General features: G+C 43.9%; 2 protein-coding genes across 14 annotated transcripts in view, besides 2 other annotated features; one reads left to right on the top strand and one right to left on the bottom strand.

Annotated features, from left to right (window-relative positions):
- The window catches only part of ADGRE3 (adhesion G protein-coupled receptor E3), a 74,728-nt gene extending 65,353 nt beyond the window's left edge, over positions 1-9,375 (bottom strand). For 5 of the 6 annotated variants that reach the window (XR_001753772.2, NM_001289159.2, NM_001289158.2 and 2 more), the window contains exons 1-2: positions 9,277-9,375; positions 3,333-3,383 (exon numbers count right to left, since the gene is read on the bottom strand). Coding sequence is in view for 5 of the 6 variants with exons in the window: in NM_001289159.2 (NP_001276088.1) it covers positions 3,333-3,383; positions 9,277-9,301 (76 nt within the window). In the remaining variant the exon portion in view is untranslated. The remainder of the gene's footprint in view (positions 1-3,332; positions 3,384-9,276) is intronic. The other variant, XM_011528374.3, reaches the window with a different exon arrangement.
- Positions 24,173-24,222: a silencer, noted in NCBI's record as "silent region_10262". NCBI's record gives its function as "represses an Ori minimal core promoter by ATAC-STARR-seq in GM12878 lymphoblastoid cells {active_cell/tissue: GM12878}" and the evidence as "EXISTENCE:reporter gene assay evidence [ECO:0000049][PMID:35858748]".
- ZNF333 (zinc finger protein 333) overlaps positions 24,318-26,397 on the top strand; it is a 43,956-nt gene continuing 41,876 nt past the window's right edge. For 7 of the 8 annotated variants that reach the window (NM_001300912.2, NM_001352239.2, NM_001352240.2 and 4 more), the window contains exon 1: positions 24,579-24,681. The gene's annotated coding sequence lies outside the window, so the exon portion shown is untranslated. Of the gene's footprint in view, positions 24,452-24,578; positions 24,682-26,397 lie in introns of those variants that run through there. The other variant, XM_011528362.3, reaches the window with a different exon arrangement.
- Positions 24,553-24,922: a silencer, noted in NCBI's record as "silent region_10263". NCBI's record gives its function as "represses an Ori minimal core promoter by ATAC-STARR-seq in GM12878 lymphoblastoid cells {active_cell/tissue: GM12878}" and the evidence as "EXISTENCE:reporter gene assay evidence [ECO:0000049][PMID:35858748]".

Here is a 26,397-nt window from a genome sequence, read left to right on the forward strand (position 1 = left end):
TGCATTTTGGATTTTGTTTTATTTTACTTTATTTTTTAAGAGATAAGGTCTCGCTCTATTGTCCAGGCTGGCATGCAGTGGCAGATCATAGCTCACTGCAGCCTCAACCTCCTGGGCTCAAGCGATCCTCCTACCTCAGCCTTCTGAGTAGTTGAGATTACAGGCATCTGCCAAAATGCCCAGCTAATTAAAAAAATTTTTTTGTAGAGATGGGGTTCTTGCTATGTTGCCTAGGCTGTTCTCTAACTCCTGGGCTCAAGTGATCCACCTGCCCTGGCCTCCCAAAGCACTGGGATTACAGGTGTTAGCCACCATGCCTAGCCTTTGGAATTTTATTTTTGGATAAAAATAAAATAATATGTTACATAATTTGTATATTATAATATAATATACAACATAATATATAATTATATAAGATATAAATTATATATTTATACACATATATATTGCATATACACACATATGTGTATATATATATATATATATATATATATATATATATATATATAGTGTTTTCTTTATCCACGTGTTGATTGATGGGCATTTGAACTGGTTCCATATTTTTGCAATTGTGATTTGTACTGCTATAAACATGCTTGTGCAAGTATGTTTTTTGTACAATGCTTCTTTTCCTCTGGATAGATACCCAGTAGTGGGATTCCCGGATCAAATGGTAGAGCTACTTTTAGTTCTTTAAGGAATTTCCACAATGTTTTCCACAGTGGTTGTACTAGTTTTAATTCCCACCAATAGTGTAAAGTGTTCCCTTTTCACTACATCAAAGCCAACATCTATTATTTTTTTATTATGGCCATTCTTGCAGGAGTAAGGTGGTATTGCATTGTGATTTCGATTTGCATTTCCCTTATAATTAGTGATGTTGAGCATTTTTTCATGTTTCTTGGCCTATTTTTTTTTTTTTTTAAAGACAGAGTCTCGCTCTGTCGCCCAGGCTGGAGTGCAGAGGTGTGATCTCAGCTCACTGCAGCCTCCACCTCCTGGGTTCAAGTGATTCTCCTGTCTCAGCCTCCCGAGTAGCTAGGGTTACAGATGCACACCATCACACCTGGATAATTTTTGTATTTTTGGTAGAGATGGGGTTTCACCATGTTGGCCAAGCTGGTCTCAAGCTCCTGACTTCAAGTGATCCACCTGCCTCGGCCTCCCCGAGTGCTGGGATTACAGGCGTGAGCCACCGTGCCTGGCCTGTTGGCCATTTGTATATAGAAGAGGTGGTATTGTACTCAGTGGAGCAAAATAGTCACCCACTAAGTATGCACAATTCTCCTGGGGGGACAGGGAGAGGTGGTACCCTCTGCCACTCATTTCTTTCCTATCTCTTCCCTTCCTGTTCAGGTTCTGCTTAGTTCAGAGTGAGCTCTGAAAGTCTATTCTTAATCTTTTCCAGGACTTAATACCTTACCATACTGAGTATACTGGTTTAAATAGTGTCCTCCTAAAATTCATGTCCACCCAGAACCTCAGGATATGACTTCATTTGGAAACAGGGTCTGTACAGATGTAATCAAGTTAAGATGAGGTCGTACTGGAGTAGGGTGGGCGCAGGTTGTCCCTTCATGTAGTGTCAGGGTGTGGGCTAGTTTGGTCTTCCTTCCAACATGGTGACCTCAGTCAGGCTGCTTATGGCCTCCAGAACTCTGGGAATGGGACTTGCTGTTGTCTGGGGGAGGCTTGGCAGAGAGGAAATGTGGCTGCTGGTGGCTATGAAGTGAGACTTGGAGCAGACGGAAATTTTTTGGAGTGAAATGTGGCATGCCCTGTAATGCAAATACCCTTCCATCCTTCCTGTGAATGGGCCAGTAAAATCTACCTTGCTCATGAATGTCTTCTTTTCCATGAATGTCTTCTTTTCTGTTTTTTTTTTTTTTAAATTTGGTAACATGCACATAATATGAAATTTACCATCTTAGTGCAGCACTATTCACAATAGCAAAGACTTGGAAACAACCCAAATGTCCATCAGTGATAGACTGGATTAAGAAAATGTGGCATGTATACACCAGGGAATACTATGCAGCCATAAAAAATGATGAGTTCATGTCCTTTGCAGGGACATAGATGAAGCTGGAAACCATCATTCTCAGCAAACTATCAGAAGGACAGAAAACCAAACACCGCATGTTCTCACTCATAGTTGGGAGTTGAACAACGAGAACATTTGGACACAGGGTGGGGAACATCACACCCAGGGGGTGGGGGGCGTGGGGAGGGATAGCATTAGGAGAAATACTTAATGTAAATGTCGAGTTGATGGGTGCAGCAAACAAATATGGCACATGTATACCTATGTAACAAACCTGCACGTTGTGCACATGTACCCTAGAACTTAAAGTATAATAAAAAAAATAAATTTACGATCTTAGCCATTACTAGGTGTACAGTTCGGTGGAATTTAATACCTTCATAATGTTGTGGAACCATCTCCATAACTGTTTTCATCTTGTAAAACTGAAACTCTGTACCCACTAAACACTCACTCCAGGCTGGGCATGGTGGCTCATGCCTGTAATCCCAGCAATTTGGGAGGTTGAGGTGGGCAGACTGTTTGAGGCCAGGAGTTGGAGACCAGCCTGGGTGTCATGGTGAAACCCAGTCTCTACAAAAAATGCAAAAATTAGCCCACAGTGGCACGTGTCTTTAGTCCCAGCTACTCGGGAGGCTGAGGCATGAGATTCGTTTGAACCCAGGACGTGGAGGTTGCAGTGAGCCGAGATGGCACCACTGCACTCCAGCCTGGGTGACAGAGTGAGACTCTGTCTCAAAAAAAGAAGAAGAAGAAAAAAAGAGACTCTCAGGTTCCACCCTAGACCTGAGCCCCTCCCAGATTCTTAACCCACAGAAACCAAGAGTGATAACCAGACAAACTTTTTTTTTTTCTCTTAGATTCAAGAGGTACTTGTGAATCTAGAGAGAGAGTCCCAGGGGAATAACGTTAAACAGAAATGACCTTGTTCATTATTGGTTGACTTGTTTATAATCAGAATGATAATGATTAGCATTCCTTTGTCTCTCCCCACTAGAATGTCTGCTTCATGAGACTTTGTGTGTTTTATTTTCTGTTCTATCTCCACTTTGTACTCACTGTGGTTAGCAAAAACAGACAAATTAAAAATCAAACAAAACGATAAATAAAAGGCTATCCATATTTGATATAATGATAAATTAAGCAAACAAATAATGAAACACAGGAGCAAGCCTTCCCAAATATTGCTCTCAGAACAGGCACTTTTCTCCAGCCCACTGGAGACCATGAGTGGCTCCAGGTCCAGCCCTTGGTCCACAAGTTCTCTGTTCTGGCTCTGAGCACTCACTTTTGGTTTTCTGAGTCACAGCTCCAAAGAGGCTCAGCAGAAAGCAGAGGCCTGGAATAGATGGGAAACAGAAGGGAGAGACATGAAACAATTGAGGAGAGATTCCAAGAAATGCCCCAAGGACTGTGTATCAGTTATCTATCACTGTGTAACAAATTACAAAAATGTAGTGGCTTAAAGCTACATTTTTGTTGAGTATGGAGATCTCTCAAATAACTAAAAATAGGACCACTGTTGGACCCAGCAATCCCACTACTGGATATCTACCCAAAGGAAAAGAAATCATTATATAAAAAAGACACCTGCACTCATACATTTACAGCAGCATTATTCACAATAGGCAAGTCACGGAGCCAACCTAAGTGTCCACCAACAGTTGACTAGATAAAGAAAATATGCCATATATGCACCATGGAATACTATGCAGCCATAAGAAAGAATGAAATCATGCCCTTAGCAGCAACATGGATGGAGCTGGAGGACATTATCCTAAGTGAACTCACTCAGAAGCAGAAAATCAAATATTGTATGTTCTCACTTATATGTGGGAGCTAAGCAGTGGGCAGACCTGGACATGAAGATGGAGACAATAGACTCTGGGGACTTTGCAATAGCCATGACTTGGCTATTGTGAATAGTGCTGCCATAGACATATGAGTGCAGGTGTCGCTTTGATATAATGATTATTATTTTTTTTCTTTTTTTGAGACAGAGTCTCTTTCTGTCACTCAGGCGGGAGTGCAGTGGCGCGATCTTGGCTCACCACAACCTCCACCTCCCAGGTTCAATCGATTCTCCTGCCTTAGCCTCCCGAGTAGCTTGGATTACAGGCACTCACTACCACACCTGGCTAATTTTTGTACTTTTAGTAGAGAGGTGGGTTTCACCATGTTGGCTAGGCTGGTCTTGAACCCCTGACCTCAAGTGATCCACCCACCTCAGCCTCCCAAAGTGCCGGGATTACGGGCATGAGCCACTCTGCCCAGCCCAATGACTATTATTATTTTTTTGGGTAGATACCCAGTAGCGGGATTTCTGGGTCCAACAGTAGTTCTATCTTTAGTTCTTTAAGAGATCTCCAAACTCAACAAAAATGTTGTTTTAAGCCACTAAAAAAGGGGAGGATGTGGGGTGGTGAGGGTTGAAAAATTACCTATTCGGTACAATGTTTAATGTTTGGGTGATGGGTACATCAGAAACCCAGTCTCCACCATTATGCATGTAATATCCATATAACATACAAGCACATGTACATCTTGAATCTAAGAAAAAAAATGTTTGTTTTGTTATCACTCTTGGTTTCTGTGGGTCAAGAATCTGGGAAGGGCTCAGCTGGGCGGTTCTAGCTTGATGGTCTCATATGATTATAGTCAGTTAGTGGATGGGGCTGCAACGGCTGAGAACTAGCTGGGCATTGTCCCTTCACCTGTTGTCTCAGGGTGTTGGGCTTGTTTGGGCTTCCTTCAAACATGGAGACCTGAAGCAAGCTGCTTTAATGGAACATCTAAGCTCTAAGCATGAGTGTCCCAGCTGATGAGGCTGCATTTCCTCTTGACACTCATCCCTGAAAGTCACCTGGCTCTACTTCCATCATATTCCCTTGGTTACAAGCAAGTTACAAGCTCATTCAGATTCAAGTGGAGAAGAATCAAATTCTTCCTCCTTATGAGAGACCAGCAAGGTTCTAGAAACACATTTTTGATGGGGGATATTATTTCCACCTTTTTGGAAAATTGTCTGCTCAGGCTGGCTCTATTGTGGCTGGTAAAGAGCCCTTTGCTCTTCCCCATGCCTTTCCAACATCCGATGATGTCATCAGTCATGTTCCTGCTTCTGCAAAGACCTAAAGATGCTGGACAGATGGACTGCTTTTTTTCTGTCACTTCAGCTTTGCAACGACTTTAGCAGGAAAGTGCTATTAGCATCATCTCTGCTTTTCAGATTAAGAAATGGAGGCACAGAGAAGGTAAGTAACTTGCTCCATTCACTGGGGCTAGTCAGTGGCAGAGCTGAGGTTAAACACGGGTTCTGGGTTCTAGCTGATAACCCATTACACCACATAGCCTCTCCTTCAGAAATCCCACAGGGCACTACCTGCATGGAAGTGCTGTTCAGATTGTAGACACTGTAGGTTGGCATGTTTATTGTGACAGTGACTTGTCCTTTTTTCCCCCGGCAGATGCCACTCACCAGATCTGACTGGAGCCTCAAAGTCCCGTAGAGAGTGGTATGTGACTTGGTCATTTAGGGCAGTGCAGACCAATTGTAGGATTTTGGAGAAGAGGCCCTGGGGGCTAACTGTGTGACTCTTCAGGAGAGGTAATGGCAGCAATCTAAATCCTTCTGGATCTCTCTCTTGAGTTTCCAATTGCTGCTATCACAAATTACCATGACTGTAGTGGCTTAAAACAACACTGATTTATTATTCTCTTACAGGTCTGGAAGTCAGAAGTCTTAAATCAGCCTCTATAGGCTAAAATCAAGAATGTTAGTAGGGCTGGTTTCTTTTGGAAGCTCTAGGGGAGAATCTGTCTCCTTGCCTTTTCCAGCTTCTAGAAGCTGCCTGCATTTCTTGGCTCACGGACCCTTCCTCCTTCTTTAAATCCAGCAGCACAGCATCTTCTCGTCTTCCTGATCTTCCACCTCCCTCTTAAGAGGACCTTTGTGATTATTATATTAGGCCCCCTGGAAAATTCAGGGTACTACCCCCATATTAAGATTCTTATCTTAATCAACATCTGCAAAGTTTCTTTTACCATGTAAGGTAACATATTAACAGGTTCCAGGGATTAGGATGTGGATGTCTCTGGGGGGACTGTTATTTTTCTTCCTGTAATTCTCACCCTTCCCCCAAGAAGATGCCAGGTCTGGTTTGTGATCAGTTACTTATGCAATTGCATTCACAGAACATTTTGAATATTCTCAGCTGGGCTTAATGTCAGGCTGATGTTTCCTTTAAAGTCCCCTTCCTTCTACATTTTTTATTTTTATTTTTATTTTTTTGAGGCAGGTTCTTTTTCTGTTGCCCCGGTTGGAGTGCAGTGGTGCAATCATACCTCACTGTAGCCTTGAACTCCTGGGCTACATGCATGAGATACCACTTGTGGCCAATTAAAAAAAATTTTTTTGGTAGAGATTGGGTCTTGCTGTGTTGACCGAGCTGGTCTTGAACTGTTGGCCTCAAGTGATCCTCCTTCTGTGGCCTCCCAAAGTGTTGGCATTATATGCGTGAGGCACTTTCTTCTTTTGTATATACATGAATGTGTAGCAGCCACACAAACCTTACGCCTGCCCAAATGATGACTAGCTCACAGGGCCAACTGATAAACCATATGGCTGAATAGTGTTACCCTGTTCCTAAAACTCAGGCAGTCTGGGGGACCATCATGTTTCCTTAAGACTAGTCTTTAGTCTAACCAGCAAGCCTGTACTCACTAATTTGGGCAAAGGTCTTAAGTTAGGGTTTCTGAAGAGTCATCGGTGTGTCAGAATCCCAGAGTTCTAAGAAACTTTAGAAATCATCCACTGACTTATTTTGTAGATGAGGAAACAGGTCCCCTGGGGTTAAGTGGCTGGCACACTAGTTGGGCAAATTTGGGTAAGTTGTTTAACTTCTCTAAGCTTCCTTATGTGAAATAGGGTGGCAGTATGACCTACTTTGTGGGGTTTTGGAGATGACCTAAATGAGGGACTGTGTAGAGCACAATGTCAGGCAGGAAGTCCTCCACTGATACTGGCTGCCTCTGTCACCATCTGACTTCCTCCTTTCCCATTTGGATGCTTTTTCTTTCTCTCTTTTTGCCTAATTGCTCTAGCTTGCTGCCTATATTATCATTTGAGCTCTGTTGCTCAGGCTGGAGTGCAGTGATGCAATCACAGCTCATTGTAACCTTGAACTCCTGAGCTCAAGCGATCCTCCCACCTCAGCCTCCAGGGTAGCTGGGACTGCAGGTGTGTGCCACCATGACTGGCTAATTTTTTTTTTTAATGTTTCTTGGAGACAGAGTCTTGCTATGTTGCTCAGTCTGGTCTTGAACTCCTGGCTCAAGCAATCTTCCCGCCTTGCCTTCCAAAGCTTTGGGATTATAGGTATGAGCCTCCATGCCCAACCCTGGAATCCTAATTCTTGACCCAATGCTCATATCATCACCCTTGCCTGTACCATCCAGTGATATGGGCTAAAAGTTCCTGGATAACCAAAATTCACTAATAATCCACCTCAGAAGTGTGGAGGACTCTGTCTCCAGTTGCAAAAAGGCAGGCTTCTTTCACATTTGATTCCACATATACTGAAACACCTCTTATATATAAGATGCTATGCTAGGGGTTGCAAAGGTGAGGGAGACATGGCATTAGGATTTAAGTGTAGCTTGTATTATTTTGATAGAATTTACAGCCTATCAGCTGCCTCTGCAGCAGAATAGCTGTGAGGCTTTGAGAAATTCACAGAACCTCTCTATGATGCAATTTCTTATCTGTAATGTGCAGATGCTATGTGACAATGTAAAGCAATTTAAGCCTAATGCCAGGCTAAAGTAGCTGCTTAATAAATGTAAGCTTTGATTGATATTGGGACTATCAATATTGTTAATTCATCTGGAGCTGGAAAGATGGATGGGATTTCATCCGTACAGAGATGGTGGTTGAAGCCATGGAATTAGGAGATTCCCATAGGGAGAGGGAGTAGAAAAACAGAAGATCCCAGTAAGGATCCTGTGGGAGGAGCATTATAGCAAAGATCTGGAGACAGATGGTTTGGATTCAAATCCCAGCTCTCTTATTTACTAGCTGTGTGATGTTGGACAAATAACATAACCTGTGCCCCAGTTTTCTTATCTGTAAGATGAGGATACCCCATGAGCATACTGATGATGCAACAGATTAATACATGTAAGGTGCATAGTGAGTTTTCAAAAATGTTGGTTATCATTATTTTCTTTGTATAAATTTATGGGATACAAGTGTAATTTTGTTACACGCATAGATTTCATAGTGGTGAAGTCAGGGCTTTTAGAGTATCCACCATCCAAATGATGTACATTGTAACCATTAGGTAACTTCTTATTTTCCACTGTCCTTCTACTCCCTCAGCCTTCCCAGTCTTCATCGTCTATCATTCTACTCTCTATGTCCATGTGTCCACATTATTTAGCTCCCACTGATAAACAAGAACATGAGGCATTTGTCTTTTGGTGTTTGAGTTATTTCACTTAATATAATGACCTCTAAAATTAATAATAAAATTATCATTTATTTTCTTGTCACAGGAAAATGATAAAGGAGGGAGAAGAAAGAATAGCAAGAGAAAAAGGAAAAAAGTCAGGGCAGGGCTAGTTTGCAGAAGTTATCAAGAAGGAGAAGACATCAATTAGAAAACAAAACTTGCCAAGAGGAAGATGAACAACGTATTAGAGACCGGGTGCGGTGGCTCATGCCTGTAATCCTAGCACTTTGGCAGGCTGAGGCGGGTGGATCACCTGAGGTCAGGAGTTCGAGACCAGCCAGGGCAACATGGTGAAACCCCATCTCTACTAAAAATACAAAAATTAGCCAGGTGTGGTGATGTGTGCCTGTAATCCCAGCTACTCAGGAGGCTGAGGCAGGAGAATCACTTGAACCCGGGAGGCAGAGGTTTCAGTGAGTCAAGATTGCGCCACTGCACTCCAACCTGGGTGACAGAGTGAGATTCTGTCTCAAAAAACAAAACAAAACAAACAAACAAAACAAACAAAAAACCAAGCTACTAGATTGGATAGGAACATTTTAGGGATATTCGAGAGCATACTTTGAATAGGGTAGTCAGGAAGGAAACCACACTCCAAAGGGAAAAGGTGAGAGTGTTCAGAGCAGAAGAAAGAGGAGGAGAAAATAACCAATTGTTGAACCAAGTGGTCCCTGACTGGGGGATAGGTTAAGCCTCAGTCATTGTTACAGTCACACATACCTGGAAGAAGCAATGGTCCCTGCATTTCTGTGGTACGGGTATCCCACGCCAGCCAGCCCTGGAAGCTCTCTACTGTGCCGTAAGCCAACCACCTTTCCTAGCTCAAGAAATCCCATGAGAATTGAAGTATGTATCTTAGGTCAGCTGACTCATGAAATTGCTATCAGAAAAGCAAACTGCTTCCCCTCTTTCGCCATCAGACTCATGGTTCTGCTTTTCGTTTATTTGCTGTACCTTTTCTGCCTAGCTATTGTTGATCACCTTTGGGATGATTGAGTTGGTAAACCCTAACGAGGAAATGCCCTGAAAGTTACATCACATTGTCTGAGGATTAGGAAGTGCCTTTGGGGCCAAAATAAATCTTAAATAAGCCTGTGGCTTTGAGGTGAGTAAACCAGATTTTAGGGTGTCTGTGTTGGTATCTGAAGTTTCCAGAGGAGTCATTTTAACATATCTTTCTCTTCCCCCAGTAGATGATACTTACTGGTTATGATTGCTGAGCCATAAGAAGTTAAGAGTCCCAAAGTCTCATAGAAGGTAATACATTATTTGGTTATTTGGACCAACCCTAACCAGTCACAGGACTTGGGAGAAAAAGTCTGTAAATCTACCCTTCCTCCAGCAAATATTTATTTATTTATTTATGTGGGTCTTGCTCTGTTACCCAGGCTGGAGTGCCGTGGCACAATCATAGCTCACTGCAACCTCAAACTCCTGGGCTCCAGCGATCCTCCCACCTCAGTCCTCTGAATCGTTAGGACTACAGGTGCATGCCACCACGCCTGGCTAATTTTTTTTAGTTTTTATTTTTTTTTTTGAAGAGAGACAGGGCCTCGCTTTGTAGCCCAGGCTTGTCTTGAATTTCTGGGCTCAAGCAATCCTTCTGCCTCAGTCTCCCAGTGTTGAGATTACCGGTGTGAGCCACTGCACCCGGCTCCCCTGCTTAAAACTCTTCTGAAGCTCTTCATTAGACTTAAAACACCAGACTTCCTACTGAAGCAGTGTTGTTGTCTGGGGTTCATCCTCTCATGCCAAGTAAATCAAGGATGCGGATGCACAAGAAGTGAATTTAAGGCCGAGCACTGTGGCTCACCCTTGTAATCCCAGCACTTTGGGAGGCTGAGACGGGCGGATCACCTGAGGTCAGGAGTTCAAGACCAGCCAAGCCAACATGGTGAAACCCTGTCTGTACTAAAAATACAAAAATTAGCTGGGCATGGTGGCGCATGCCTGTAATCCCAGCTACTCGGAAGGCTGAAGCGGGAGAATTGTTTGAACCCGGGAGGCAGAGGTTGCCGTGAGCGAAGATTGCGCCAGTTCCTTCCAGCCTGGGTGACAGAGTGAGACTTCATCTAAAAAAAAAAAAAAAAAAGTGAGTTTCAGAGCAGAAGTTTAACAGGCAAGAGAAGAGAAAAAAGAGAAAAGCTCTATCCTGCAGAGAGAGAGGGGCTCCCAAGTGAGTCTTCTGGTCTCGTGGTGAAATACATGGGGTTTTATAGCCGAGCTTGAGGAGGAGCTGTCTGATTTACACAGGAACCGAGAGATTGGTCGGACTGGGTGTGCTGTTTGCATAGCACGCAAAGAAGCTGGCCGCCCCATCCTCATCTTTTACTATGCAGATGGGGTCTCTACCTGGCTGGCACTATGTTGCCTGCTTTTTTACTGCACACGTGGTGATAAAGAAAAGGGAACATGGTGAAACCCCGTCTCTACTAAAAATACAAAAAATTAGCCGGGCGCGGTGGCGGGCGCCTGTAGTCCCAGCTACTCGGGAGGCTGAGGCAGGAGAATGGCGTGAACCCGGAAGGCGGGGCTTGCAGTGACCCGAGATAGCGCCACTGCAGTCTGGCCTGGGCGAAAGAGCGAGACTCTGTCTCAAAAAAAAAAAAAAAAAAAAAAAAGGGAAGAGGGAACCTCCATGTTGAACATGCCTGCCCCCAGGAAGCCTTTTCCTATTGGCACAGCCGCTGCATTTACCTTTGCAAACTTCCAGCTTGCTTATTTATGTTTGTAGCTCGATTTTGCAGACTGCTCTTTGTCGTGGTGGTGATGATGATGATGGTGATAATAACGGTTGTGGTGGTGATGGTGGTAATCATGGTAGTGGCAGGAGTGATGGTGGAGCTATAGGTGGTGGTGGTGACGATGAAGGAAGGGATGATGGTGATGATGACGATGGTTGCGATGATGGTGAAGATGATGAAAGTGACGGTGATGGTAGTAGCGATGGTGATGGTTACATTATGGTGATATTTTCAGAGATGGTGGTGATGATGGTGATTGAAGGTGACAGCTGCAGTGAAGGTGATTGTTGTGGTGATGGTGACGAAGGCTGTGATAGCAGTGGTGATAATGATGGGGTGAAAATAGCAAAGGTGGTGGTTATATTGGTAGTGGAGGTAAAGACGAAAAGAAATGATTTTGGGGCTGCTTTTTGTTAACAGGGAAGCCTTACTGAGGACTCTCTTACCCTCACCAGTTGCCTGAATAATATCTTTTTAGCTCTTGTATCACTAGATACAACAGGAACAAAAAGGAACAAACAAACAGGCAAACAAACAAAAAAACCACTGCAAGAAAGTAGCCCTGGTGGCAACTGAAGACACGGTCATGGATTAAATCATTTAGGGAGAGATTATAGAGTGGAAAAAGAACCCTGAGTAATTCATTTAAAAACTCAGGCAATGTTAATTTGTGCAAAGGCAATAGAAAAAAATTAAAAAAAATAAAGGAATGGAGAGGCAGCTAATAGAGGAGACAGGACGAGAATGGCCAGAGAGATGAGGGGTGGGGGTGGGAAATGAATGGAGTATGGTATTATGGAGGTAAAGGAAAGAGATCACACTGAATTAAGACTGAAAGACACCCACAGGAGAGAGCTGCAAGGGGGTTGTTTGTATTCTTAGCATGAACAATTACAGTAGTGAAGGTGGTGGTGGTGGTGATGATGCTGATGCTGATGATAGCGGTTGTGGTGGTGGTTGTTATATATAAAGTTTCGGTGACGTGAAAGAAATAGCACTTGAATATAAAATTTTCCTTTTAATTCTCAGCAAGGCAAGTTACTTCAATATAGAAGGGTGTGCCCTTACAGATGGAACAGTGGCGAGCGCACATTCGGACATGGGAGGGGAAGGGGTTCTTATCCCTGACTCAGGTGGCCCCTGCTGCTGTGTCGTTCCCCTATTGGCTAGGATTAGACCGCGCAGGCTAAACTAATGCCGATTGGCTAATTTAAAGAGAATGACGGGGTGAGTGCTTTGGCGGGAGTCAGGGCAGAGCAGGTAGCAGGTAATCGGAATGAGTTAGGGTGGAGCAGGTGATCAGAATGAGTCAGGGTGGAGTAGGTAATCGAAAAAGCTGCTTTACGAGGAAGTTAAGTTTAAAAGTAGAAGGCAAAGAATTGAACATACTGACATATTAATTCTTTGAAAATAAATTTAGAACTCATATCTAACATGGTGATGATGATGATGATAATAACGGTTGTGGTGGTGATGATGATGGTGATAGAATGGTTGCAGTGGTGATGGTGGTCATCATGGTAGTGGCAGTAGCGATGGTGGTGGTAGAGGTCGTGGTGGTGATGACGGAAGTGATGATGGTGGTGATGATGATGGTTGCGATGGGGCTGAAGGTGACGAAAGTGACGACGGTGGTAGTAGCAATGGTGGTGGTAACATCACAGTGATGTTTTCAGAGATGGTGGTGATGATGGTGATTGATGGTGACAGTTGTAGTGAAGGTGACTGTTGTGATGGTGATGAAGGCTGTGATAGCAGTGGTGATGAAGATGGGAGTGAAAATAGTGGCGGTGGTGGTTATGTTGATAGTGGAGGTAAAGATGGTGGTGATGCCAATAATGGTAGGGAAGGTGGTGGAGGTTGTTGTTATAATGGTTCAAGCCAGAATTATGTGGATTGAGGAAAAAGCGCGAGGGGAAGAAGTGGAGACAGCAAGTGAAGTCACCTGTAAAGACAGTTGGAGAAAAAAGTATGAGCAAAGCAAGATGATCAAGAGACCTCCCTGGGTGTTTGGAGCATGGTGGAATTAGCTGGCTATTGGGATTGTCAAGGCCATGAACGTACGTAGTAGGTTTGTTGGGCTCTCAACATCCTACTGTCCCAGCATGCATGCAGTGAGGCTTCCTGATCTTTCTCCCTAGTGATCGTCTAGGGGTGGGGTTGTAGAGGCAAGAGTTGATCAAGAGAGACAGGTGGTGCTACCTAATGGTCAGGCCAAAGTGGTTCACATAGTTTGGATGTTGTTCCCTCTAACTCTCATCTTGAAATGTAATCCCCAGTGTTGGAGGTGCGGCCTGGTGGGAGGTGATTGGATTATGGGGGTGGATTTTTGATGGCTGGTTTAGTGCCATTTCCTCGGTGCTGTCCTCATGATAGTGAGTGAGTTCTCATGAGATCTGGTTGTTTAAAAGTGTGTGACTCCTCCCCTCTTCTCTCTTGCTCCTGCCCTCACCATGAGACACCTACTTTCCCTTCACCTTCTGCTATGATTGGAAGCTTCCCAGGCCTTCCCAGAAACCAAGCAGATGTCAGCTTCCTGTAAAGCCTGCGGAACCACGGGCCAGTTAAAACACTTCTTTATCAATTACCCAGCCTTGGATATTCCTTTGTAACAATGCAAGAATGGCTTAACTCAGTAGTTATGCTATTACAGAATGTTGGCTGCAGAGTCAGAATCCCTGGGTTCAAATCCTGGCTCTGCCACTGATTAGCTGTGTGACTTTGGGAAAGTTACTCAACCTCTCTTTTCTGCAGGCATCTCTGATCTGGGATAACTGCAATAGTCTCGTAACTCGTTGTCCTTCTGTCCCATCCTCCACCGTGCAGTCAGGACAGTTTTCTGAAAGATGATTCTGGGCCCATCACACCTCTGCCTCACAACCCTGTGAATATTTCACAGGCTAAATGCACTTACTTAGTAGGTGCATAAATCTCACCCCACTCTGGTCCCACTCCACTTCTCCAGCCTCATTTCCTACCCTTCTGCTTCAGCCTTTCCACCTTCCCTGATACATTTTCTGTTTCCCTAAACTCCACATTCTATTTGTAGCCTTTCATGCCTTTGTACATGTGATTCTCTCAACCTGGAATGCCCCCCCATTTTTTTTTTTTTTTGAGACAAAGTCTCACTCTGTCACCCAGGCTGGAGTACAGTGACATGATCTTGGCTCACTGCAATCTCCGCTCCCCGGGTTCAAGCAATTCTCCTGCCTTAGCCTCCTGAGTAACTGGGACTATAGGTACCCGCCACCATGCCTGGCTAATTTTTGTATTTTTAGTAGAGATGGAATTTCCTCACGTTGGTCAGGCTGGTCTCAAACTCCTGGTCTCAAGTGATCTGCCTGCCTTGGCCTCCCAAAGTGCTGGGATTACAGGTGTGACCCACTGTGCCCCACCTGGAATGCCCTTTCTTTTTCTTTCTTGCCACTCTACTCCTGGCCACGTCCTTCAAGTGGCATTCTTTTGCATGTCCTTCCATGATAAACTCTTGTGAAAGGAAAATAAAGTCTCAGGACTCCAATTCAGGAATAAAATTAAGCTGAAAGCGGAGTCAAGCAGACAGCTACAGATAAAAGGCCAGATATCTTCACAGGTAGCTACTGTATATTCATTTTATCTTACATAAAGTGCCGATTTACTGAGCACAAGGTGAATACATCATTGACTAGTCCCCCACCTGCTCCTTTTATCTCTGGCAACACATTGGTTCAGTAATGTGACCAAACTCTCCCTCTTTCCCCTCCAGTCTGCTTTTCCCCCTTAAATATTGAAGCCCTCAAAATTATCTTTGGAGAAACAAACAGATGATAGTATGTTTTTCTGTGTTCCTTTCTTCCAGGCATGTTCTTGACCCTAGCAAAATAAGCTTCTAAATTGATTGAGACCTGTCTCAGTTACTTTTGGTTTATACTCTCCACTGTGCCCTTCCCTGCCTCTAAGATAGAGTTAGCTTCTCTCATTTCTCTGTTCATATCCTATTTCATCAAATCTAAAGCATTATTAATTTTAAGGTACACCATTGGCCGGGTGCGGTGGCTCATGACTGTAATCCCAGCACTTTGGGAGGCTGAGGTGGGCGGATCACTTGAGGCCAGGAGTTTGAGACCAGCCTGGCCAACATGGCGAAACCCCATCTCTACTAAAAGTACAAAAAAGTAGCCAGGCGTGGTGGCACGCACCTGTAATCCCAACTACTCAGGAGGCTGAGGCAGAAGGATCGTTTGAACTCAGGAGGCTGAGGTTGCAGTGAGCCAAGATGGTGCCACTGTACTCCAGCCTGGGTGACAGAGTGAGACTCCACCTCAAAAATAAATAAATAAATAAAGGTACACCATTATTTTATGTACCACTACACCTAACCATTAAACTATGATACAATGCTTTATTATTCTTTATAAATTTTTATTTTATTCTTGAATGAGCTATAATAGATTTATTTAGAAATGAATATTTATCATGCATGGCTCTGTTGCATGCATACAAAAGAAACTAGCAGCGGGAACTAAATTTGTTAAGATGTTCTTGAAGCTTCTTCATATTCAGAATCTTCTAAATTACTTTCAGCACAGTCATTGGTGCCCATGTTTCAATTTCCATGTTTCTCTATGTCAGTAGTTCTCAAGATGTGGTCCCCAGATCAGTTGCATCAATATTGTCTGGGAATTTGTTAGAAATGCAGATTCTTGGGCCTGGTGTGGTGGCTTATGCCGGTAGTCCCAGCACTTTGGGAGGTCAAGGTGGGCAGATCACAAGGTCGAGAGATCGAGACCGTCCTGGCCAACATGGTGAAACCCTGTCTCTACTAAAAATACAAAAATTAGGCAGGAGTGGTGGTGGGCACCTGTAATCCCAGCTACTCAGGAGGCTGAGGCAGGAGAATCGCTTGAACCTGGGAGGTGGAGGTTGCAGTGAGCTGAGATCACACCACTACACTCCAGCCTGGGGACACAGTGAGACTTCATCTCAAACAAATAAATAAATAAATAAATAATGCGGATTCTTGGACCATATCCAGACCTGCTGAATCAGAAATGTTGAGATAGAGCCCAGTGAGTGTTTTTTAACAGACCTTCCAAGTAATTCTGATACATGCTTAAGTTTGAGAACCCAGCTTTGCATGGTATTGTTCTCTGGACCATCAGGAGTACTGTGATGTAGGATTTATTCAAAGAACCCATGAGAGAGCCAGAGGCCATTGCTAGTTCTCTGCCATCCTAACATTGCTTAGTGGGGCACCTGAGAATAAATCAAATGTTTTCCAACTGTGATGACAAATGAGATTATAATTCCTTTTCGTAACCAAATTATTGTGGTATAATATTCCAGGGGCTTTCTTGCTGGAAATCTAAAAGTGTGTTCTCAGTTATCTCTGAGAGTTTCTCACAGGTTCACCTCATAGATGTCCCTGAATAGCCCTTTCCATCCTTCCATGCATCCATCCATGCATCCATCCATGCATCTATCCATTTATCCATCCATCCATCCATCATCAATCCATCCATCCATCATGCATCCATGCATCCATCCATCCATCCACTCACCCAGCCATCTACCTTTCATCCGTTCACTCACCGACCTATTCTTCTTTTCATCCACCAACCCATTTATGCACTCATCCATCCACTTAGTCACACACTCAACTTTTCATCTTGGGTGATGGAGGTTGGGATGCTTGTGATTTTGGTGAGGATAGAGATTGAGATGCAAATTATTTTTGGTGTGGGATAGAGGCTGGGATGCACATGGTTTTTTAGGGGGATAGAGGTTGGAATGCACATGATTTTTGGGGAGTTAGAGGTTGGGATTCTTGAGGTTTTGGGGGATACAGGTTGGGATGCATGTGATTTTTGGGGGGATAGAGACTGATATGCACATGCTTTTTTGGGGGGATAGAGGTTGGGATGCATGTGATTTTTTGGGGGTAGGGTTTGTAATGCACATGATTTGTTGGGGGTAAGGGTTGGGATGCACTTGATTTGTTTGGGGGATGAGGATTAGAATGCACCGAATTGGCCAGGCTCCGTGGCTCACACCTGTAATCCCAGCACTTTGGGAAGCCAAGGTGGGTGGATCATGAGGTCAGGAGTTCAAGACCAGTTTGGGCAAGATGGCGAAACCCTGTCTCTAATAAAAATACAAAAAATTAGCCAGGCCTGGTGGTGGGCATCTGTAATCCCAGCTACTCGGGAGGCTGAGGCAGGAGAATCACTTGAACCTGGGAGGCGGAGGTTGTGGTAAACCAAGATTGCGCTGTTGCACTCCAGCCTGGGCAACACAAGCTCCCTCCCCCCCGCAAAAAAAATAGAATTTACCGAATTTTGAGTGGAGTGCAGCTTTCATAATGCACATGATTTTTGGGTGGGGTTTATAATGCACAAGATTTGCTGGGGGGCAGGGTTTAGGATGCATTTGATTTGTTGGAGGGATAAGGGTTAAAATGTACATGATTTTTTTTTTCTTGGGTGCAGGGAGTGGGATGCACATGATTTTTGAGGCATAGAGGTTGGGATGCCCATGACTTTGGGGGTAGGGGTTATAATGCATGTGATTTCTTACAGAGGGGTTACTCCTAGAAGAAGAGAACTGAAGAAGGATAGGACAGAGGAAGGAGCTGAACAAGGAGGTAGTCTTAGCAAGAGTCTAGCCTCAGCCTAATCCCATGGGGAGCTCTGGACTGTGCACCATGGAGTTGATCCATCTTGAGGCAGGGCCCTTATACAAGGCCCTTATGTCAATCAATCATTGGCTGTGGCTGCCCTGGGCGTGGGTGCAAGCCAAACCTCACAGGTAAATGAATGAATGCAACCATGAAGAGCAACTGGGTGGAGCTCCAGGAGCATCAACTGCATTGCTCAAACCTTTATCTGGGTCATGCTCACCCACTGCCTCAAACGTTGCTACACAGAGTATGAATGTCACTTCCTCTTCATTTTAAAGTGTTCAAAATAACAATTCTCATTAGCCGTGTTGCAACATCACATGATAAATATGGGGGTGAGCAGCTTCCACATGATTCTTTTTTTCAATTTCTGTTGTTATTTCTCATTGAAAAAATAAGAATTGTATATATTGATGGGGTACTATGTAATGTGTTGATATATGTATACATGTGGAATGATTTTACCAAGTGAATTAACACATTCATTACTTCACATACTTATATATTTTGTTGTAGTGAGAATATTAAATAAGTAAATATATATATATATATATATATATATTTTTTTTTTAGAGACAGGGTCTTGCTCTGTTGCCCAGGTTGGAGTGCAGTGATGTGATCATAGCTCACTGCAGCCTCGAACTCCTGGGATCAAGCGGTCCTCTTGCTCCAGCCTCCTGAGTAGCTGGGACTACAGGGGCATGCCACCATGCCTGGCATATATATATATATATATATATATATATATTGGAGATGGGGTCTTGCCATGTTGCCTAGGCTGGTCTCCAACTCCAGAGCTCAAGCCCTCCTCCCACCTCGGCTTCCCAAAGTGCTGGGAATACAGGCATGAGTGACTGCGCCTGGCCAAAATGTATTTTTTAAAACAATTTTCAAATATACAATGAATTATTAACTATTGGCACCTTGCTGGGCAATAGATCTTGAAAACTCATTCCTCCTGTTTAACTGGAACTTCATATTCTTTGGTGCAAGTAATGCTTAATTCTTTTTTTATATTTTGAGACGGAGTCTCACTCTGTCACCCTGGCTGGAGTGCAGTGGTGCGATTCTCAGCTCACTGCATCCTCTGCCTCCCAGTTTCAAGCGCCTCTCCTGCCTCAGCCTCCTGAGTAGCTGGGATTACAGGTGCCCGCTACCATGCCCAGCTAATTTTTGTATTTTTAATAGAGACGGGGTTTCACCATGTTGGCCAGGCTGGTCTCGAACTCCTGACCTCTAGTGATCCACCCACCTCGGCTTCCTAAAGTGCTGGGATTACAGGTGTGAGCCATCGTGCCTGGCAGTAATGTTTAATTCTCGACAGGCTCAAAGATGATCATGGCAGCCAGCTTGGTAGTCAGGTTGAATTTATTTAAGTGTCGATCCCTACAGAGAGGATGCTGTTGATCCCTCACCCAGATCCCGTTTTCTGGTTTATTTTCTAGAACTATTTCCATGAGAAATAAAATCAAATTTTATTAATGTCAAGAAAGTATTTCTTTGCCCTAAGGAACAAATGGATTGTTCTGTAGGGACTCATCCCCCAGCTGTTGTATATTAGTTGCTATCAGTCACGGCTGTCTGATATATCAACCTGAAATAATCAAAAGCACCAGATTCCAGTTTTAAAGAGCTTATTCAAGAGAAAATCCATGAACAGCCACTCTGGGATGCACAAACTCTAGAGAAATGGAGTCAATGCTCTGAAGTTAGAAGCTAAGTTCTTGCTTGTATAGGAAGACAAAGAAATTTAACAGGATTACATTTTCTATACAAGGCTGGTTTATGAGTTATAACAAATTAATTAGTTGCAGTTTTTTTTCTGTGTGATTTGTTTTCTTTTTGTTGTAGCTGCTTTTCATTTTCTTTCCAATTTAAAAGTGTGTATTTAACATTCCCTCTAAAGGCAGTGTAATAGCCATGAAGTCCTTATGTGAGAAAGGGAAAAGGGAAGTTATTTTTTACTGAAAGTCAACAGCAGAGAAGGAAGGGTCTTCCCTGGCTCTTCAACCACCTGTAACATTTTACAAAACAGTGCCAGTAAAGGAAAAGGTTTAATCTGTAATCAGAGAAACAAAAGCTATGGCTTCCTGGGTTTGAGCTGCCTGTTACGTGACTCGGGCCCTGTAATTCACATTCCTTTAAGGCCCTAAATAATTTAATTGAGTTCCAACAGCTTAATTTTCTTTTTATTTGGAGATGGATTCTCACTGTCACCCAGGCTGGAGTGCAGTGGTGTGATCATGGCTCACTGAAGCCTTGAACCCCTGGACTCAAATCGATCCTCCCACCTTAGCCTCCTGAGTAGCTGGGACAACAGGCATATGCCACTATGCCTAATTAAATTTTTTTTTTTTTTTTTGTAGAGACAGAGACCTTGGTACGTGGCCCAGGCTGGCCTACAACTCCTGGCCTCAAGTGATCCTCCCACCTAGGCCTCCCAAAATGTCGGTATTACAGGCATGAACCAACTGTGTCCAGCCCCAATAGCTTAAATTTTGAATGACTAATTTTATGCCTCCTTCAGATAATTGCTGCCTCAGCTGAACAGGAGTTGCTCTGGGAGGTTATGATCCCCCACCCTTAGGAGGCATCTTGCAGCCAATGGCTATCCAAGATGGGGGTACAAAATGCCAGCTCCTTTCCTCAAAGTAGAATGGGACCAGTTCTGTGTCTCATACTCCAGAGCTCCCTATGAGATTAGGTTGAAGCTTGACTCCAGCTGAGCCCACATCTTTGTTCAACTCCTTCCTTTCCTTCCTACCCTGCTTTCCTTACTCCCTCTCTCCCAAGAGCACCCCAGCAAATCATGAGGACCTACCCTCCTCCCAGGGATTGCGACCTAACCAAATTCCTCCCTTATTTGGTTATGTCATCAACACAAAAGAAGAAATAATTCAAGTTTCCTAACACTTTCTGGTTTTATCCTGAGATGAGATTTAAAAATATAATGCTTGATTTACAGTAAGACACAAATAAGATCCCCATTATCAATATTACTTTATTGATGATGATGATAATAATGATGATTGAGTCCTATTTCAGAGTGCTTAATTTCTTTTTGAAATTGAGATAGAGTCTTTCTATATTGCCCAGGCTGGTCTTGCACTTCTGGCCTCAAGTGATCCTCCTGCCTTGGCCTCCCAAAGCACTGGGATTACAGGTGTGAGCCACCGCGCCCAGCTCAGAGGGCTTAGTCTTTACATTATAGTGCCATCTTCTGGTAAGATTAAAGAAAAAGAAATCCAAAGTAGCTTCAAATGCTGGGCTTTAAGAAGCTGGGTTGAAGTATGGATGAAGGTCTAAATTTTCCGGGTATGAGGAGTTAAGGCAAATCCTACAGAGATATTAACTTGTTCTTTTTTACATCACCTTAAATCTATTATTGTATCTTTATTATTCTGGGACATTCAGGCCCAAAGATACTCATTAAGTCAGTAAGCTAAATTTAGTGACAAGTGCATGAGAATTAGAGTTAGGAAGCCTGATCATGATATTTATTCACTCATGCATTTGTGAACCCATCCATCCATCCGACAAACGTTTAAGATATGTGGTCTCTGTGCTCGGTGATTTCATGTCAGGTTGATTCATTTTACTCAGTGTTTACTTTCTCACATTTAAAATGGGGTTAACAATGGAAAACAGCGTGGCGATTCCTCAAAGACCTAAAAACAGAAATACTATTTGGCCCAGCAATCTCGTTACTGAGTATCTACCCAAAGAAATATAAATCATTCTATCATAAAGACACATGCGCATGTAAGTTCGTTGCAGCATTACTCACAATAGCAAAGATGCGGAACTAACCTAAATGCCCATCAATAGCAGGCGATATAAAGAAAATGTACATGCACACCATAGAACACTATGCAGATGTAAAAAAGAATCAGCTCATGTTATTTGCAGGGACATGGATGCACTGGAGGCCATTATCCTTAGCAAACTAACACAGGAACAGCAGACCAAATACTGGATGTTCTCACTTCTTTTTTTTTGAAACGGAGTCTAGCTCTATTGCCCAGGCTGGATTGCAATGGTGCGATCTCGGCTCACTGCAACATCTGCTTCCCAGGTTCAAGTGATTCTCCTGCATCACCCTCCCGGGTAGCTGGGATTACAGGCGCCTGCCATCATGCCCGGCTAATTTTTGTATTTTTAATAGAGACGGGGTTTCACCATGTTGGCCAGGCTGGTCTTGAACTCCTGACCTCAGGTGATCCACCTGCCTCAGCCTCCCAAAGTGCTGGGATTACAGGCGTGAGCCACCATGCTTGGCCACTGACTCCTTTCTTACTCCTGGCTTTGTTGAGTTATAGTTGACAAATAAAAATTGTATATATTTAAGGTGTACAACTTGATGTTTTGATATACATACAGTGAAATAATGAAGCAATTAGCACATCCATCGCCTCACATATTTGCTTTTTTTTTTTTGGTGGTAAGAACACGTAAGACCTACCCTCTTAGCACATTTCAAGTACATAATATGTTCCTGTTAACTACAGTCACCATGCTGTACATTAGATCTCCAAAACTTATTTATCTGAAATAACTGAACCTTTGTACATTTTGTTTTTTAAATGATACATTTCTTTTATTTTTATTTTTAGAGACAGTGTCTTGCTATGTGGCCCAGGCTGGTCATCTGGAACTCCTGGACTCAAGCGATCCTCCTGCCTTGGCCTCCCAAAGTGTGCTGTGATTACATGCATGAGCCACCCCGCCCGGCCCAACTTCTTTGTAAGAACATTTAGCTTAAAACACAGATAAATTGTACTGCATAAAGGTATTTTCTTTCTTTATATCCTTATTCTATAAGCTATTTTTCATTTTTTTTTTTGAGATGGAGTTTTGCTCTTGTTGCACAGGCTGGAGTGCAATGGCAAGACCTTGGGTCACTGCACCCTCCACCTCCTGGGTTCAAGCAATTCTCCTGCCTCAGCCTCCCGAATAGCTGGGATTACAGGCGCATGCCACCATGCCCAGCTAATTTTTGTATTACTAGTAGAGACTGGGGGTTTCATCATGTTGGCCAGGCTGGTCTCGAACTCCTGACCTCAAGTGATCCACCAGCGTCGGCCTCCAAAGTCTTGGGATTGCAGGCGTAAGCCACCGCGCCCGGTCTTTTCATATTTTTAAAACCTTTTTAAATGTGAGTAATGTGTTGCACTGCAACATTGTGACAGTTACAACATCACTAGGTGATAAGAAATTTTCAGCTCCATTATAACCTTATGGGATCACAACTGTGTATGTGTTTCGTGGTTGACCAAAACCTTGTTATGTGGTGCATGACTGCACATGTGCTTGATATATAAAGAATACCAGGGAACTAGTGACAGTGGTTGTTTCAGGGGAGGAAAATTTAGGAATAGAGTGAGCCTCCCGTTTGAACTTTTCCCATAGGTATGTACTATGTATACTACATAATAAATAGTTTTTAAAAAGTCAGATCTATGTCTTAGATTCACACATCTTATTTTTAGTGAGAAGGGCAAGCTGTAGAAGAAACAAAAATACATCGTCCTATTTTTAGAATAAAGACAGTTAGTTGACCCGTGAACACCAAGGGTTTGAACTGTGGCTATCCCCTTATAGGTAGATTTTTTTCTACCTTTGTCCTCCTTGGGACAGCAAGACAAACCCCTCCCTTTCCTCAGCCTACTCAGGGTGAAGCTGACGATGAAGACGTTTATTTATGATCTTTACGATCACTTCCACGTAACGAAGAGTAAATATATTTTCTCTTCTTCATGATTTTCTTAATAACACTTTCTTTTCTCTGAGCTTAGTTTATTTTAAGAATATGGCATATAATATACAAAATATGTGTTAACTAACTTTATGTTATTGGTAAAGCTTCTGGTTAACAGTAGTCTATTAGTAGGTAGGTTTTGGGGGAGTCAAAAGAAGTGAATTTTCCACTGCACAGGGTGGCGCCCCAACTCCCGTTGCCTAAGGGTCAGCCGTATAAAAATATACAAAAACAATCTTAAGTATGGGTATATTTTTGTAGGGGATTGGATTAAGCCCATGGATAAAGGTGGAAGGGGTTGGGGAAAAGGAAGGAGAAAAGGGTAAGTTAAATATTGAGCATCCCTAAAGAGACCCGGGGAGGGGTCGGGTGTGCCCCTCTCAACCCTTGAAGCCCAGGTCCCCTCATCCCGCCTTCCGAATGCAAGTTCAGCTCCCATTCCCACCCCAAGCACAAGCCCCGCCCCATTTTTGCCCCTGAGGCGCACGACCCGCCCCTACTACCACCCTGCAAACCAAGGCCCCGCCCACTCCGCCATTGGGGTGCAAGCCCCGCCCATCAGCCATCGGAGGGCAAGCCACACTCCACCCCGCCCCCGCGCACAGGCCCCGCCCCACTTTTGCCCCGGGACCTAAGCCCCACCCCTATCCCTGTCTCTCGGACATAGGCTCCGCCCCCAGCACCACCCTCCATGCTCTGTGGGACCCCACTCCAGAGCCTAACCTCATCCCCCGGGTAAGAATACTAGAATTTCTCCTTGGAGGCTAAAGAAGACGTTAGTTTCTCTGCCGCCGCCTAAGGCTACCCTGGCCACAACAGCCTGAGCCACAGCCACTTCCGTTCCCGGCGGCCCCGAGACCGGAAGCGGAAGTGCGCGCGGCGGCGGCCGACGGCGGCTGAGCTGTGCTGCGCGGCGCGGCGCGGTGCGGCACGGCACGGTGGGAGTGTCTCCGGCTGGCTTGCAGGTGTGGCCCGGCCCCTCGGGAGGGCGGGGAGGGCGGGGAGGGCTCGGCTGGCGCGGGGAGGGACTGGAGGGCCTAGAACAGCTCCGCCTGTGTGAGGGGTTTCCTCCCTGCGATCAGCCGGTGGCCGGCGTGAGGCCCACACAGTCAGGGCCTCGCATCTGGGCGCCCGCCGCCCGGTCTCTCGCTCTCAGGTACCCCCCGTCCGGGCAGACAGGGCTGTCATCCTGTCAAAAGGGAAATCCCAAACAGTCCAGGTCCCACAGCTCAGAAATGTGGTGACACCGGCCCCAGCTCTCACCTGTCCTTCCCAATTTTTAGGGAAAGTGCATAAAGACGGCCCTACCTTGCCTACAGTATGCAAGATAACTGCGAATTAGTAATTCACGTTTTATTTGATATGATACTTAATATTATCTAGCTTTGCAACTGGAAAGTGAGGTCTGGGTCCACATGTGCAAACTGGTTTAATTGATTGGCCAAATTTACTTAAAAAATTGAATGCATCCTCCATTAAGGAATGAATTAGATGACGAGAGATTTCTTTTGGAGACTGACAATTTGAAGTCTTTTAGCTTAATATCTGTTAGCTTGGCTTTGCATCTCTTCCTTTTCCATAACTTTTTCTTTCTTCTTTTTTTTCTTTCTCATAAGAAAGCTTTTGGCCAGGCTTGGTGGCTCACTCCTATAATCCCAGCACTTTGGGAGGCCGAGGCGGGTGGATCACCTGAGGTCAGGAGTTTGAGACCAGCCTGGCCAACATGGTGAAACCCTGTCTTTACTAAAAATACACAAATTAGCCGAGCGTAGTGGTGGGCGCCTGTAATCCCAACTACTCGGGAGGCTGAGGCAGGAGAATCGCTTGAACCCCAGAGGCGGAGGTTGCAGTGAGCTGAGATTGTGCCACTGCACTCCAGCCTGGGTGACAGAGCAAGACTCCATCTCAAAAACAAAAACAACAACAAAAGGAGGAGTTCTTAATTTTTTTTGTTTTTGTTTTTCTTTATTTTCTATGTTTGAGACGACTTTTACTTCTGCTGTGGGCATCAAGTTTCTCACTGTTAGGTTAAGAAAAGCCGTTTCTCAGTTATTTCACAAATATTATTATCAAGAAAACCTAAGACTGTTATTCAGATCTTTTCAAGTTGGCTCCAGTCCTTCCCCCAAGCATGTGAATCACAGAGCTTCAAAACTAATGGAACTTCAGGGAAAAGACGATATAAACTTTGTTAATACTGGAAATTCAAATTGAGTTGGCCATAAGTGGGATGTCTTTTTTAATAATGGGGTTAAAGCTCGTGTCTACTGAGAAATCAGGAAAAAATTAACTCCAGAGGAAAATCATGCATCAGATTTCAGTTTTACGAGTGAGGTGTTTGTTTCCACAAAGAATATATGCGCTTGCCTTGCCTTTTTAAAAAGAATTAATATTGTTTCTTAAAGGTACCTGAAACTTGTGTGATTATGTCTTATGAAAGACAGGCACTTTAAGTTATTCTTATATTTGATTTTTATGGTGTCATATTGTCTTTTTTTTTTTTTTTTTTGAGACAGAGTCTCACTTCATCACCCAGGCTGGAGTGCAGTGGCACAATCTCGGCTCACTGCAGCTTCTGCCTCCTGGGTTCAAGCAATTCTCGTGCCTCAGCTTCCCAGGCAGCTGTGATTATAGGCGCCCGCCACCATGCCCGGCTAATTTTTGTATTTTTAGTAGAGACG

Source organism: Homo sapiens, chromosome 19 (genome assembly GCF_000001405.40).
Source record: "Homo sapiens chromosome 19, GRCh38.p14 Primary Assembly".
In the NCBI taxonomy this organism is placed as follows: domain Eukaryota; kingdom Metazoa; phylum Chordata; class Mammalia; order Primates; family Hominidae; genus Homo; species Homo sapiens.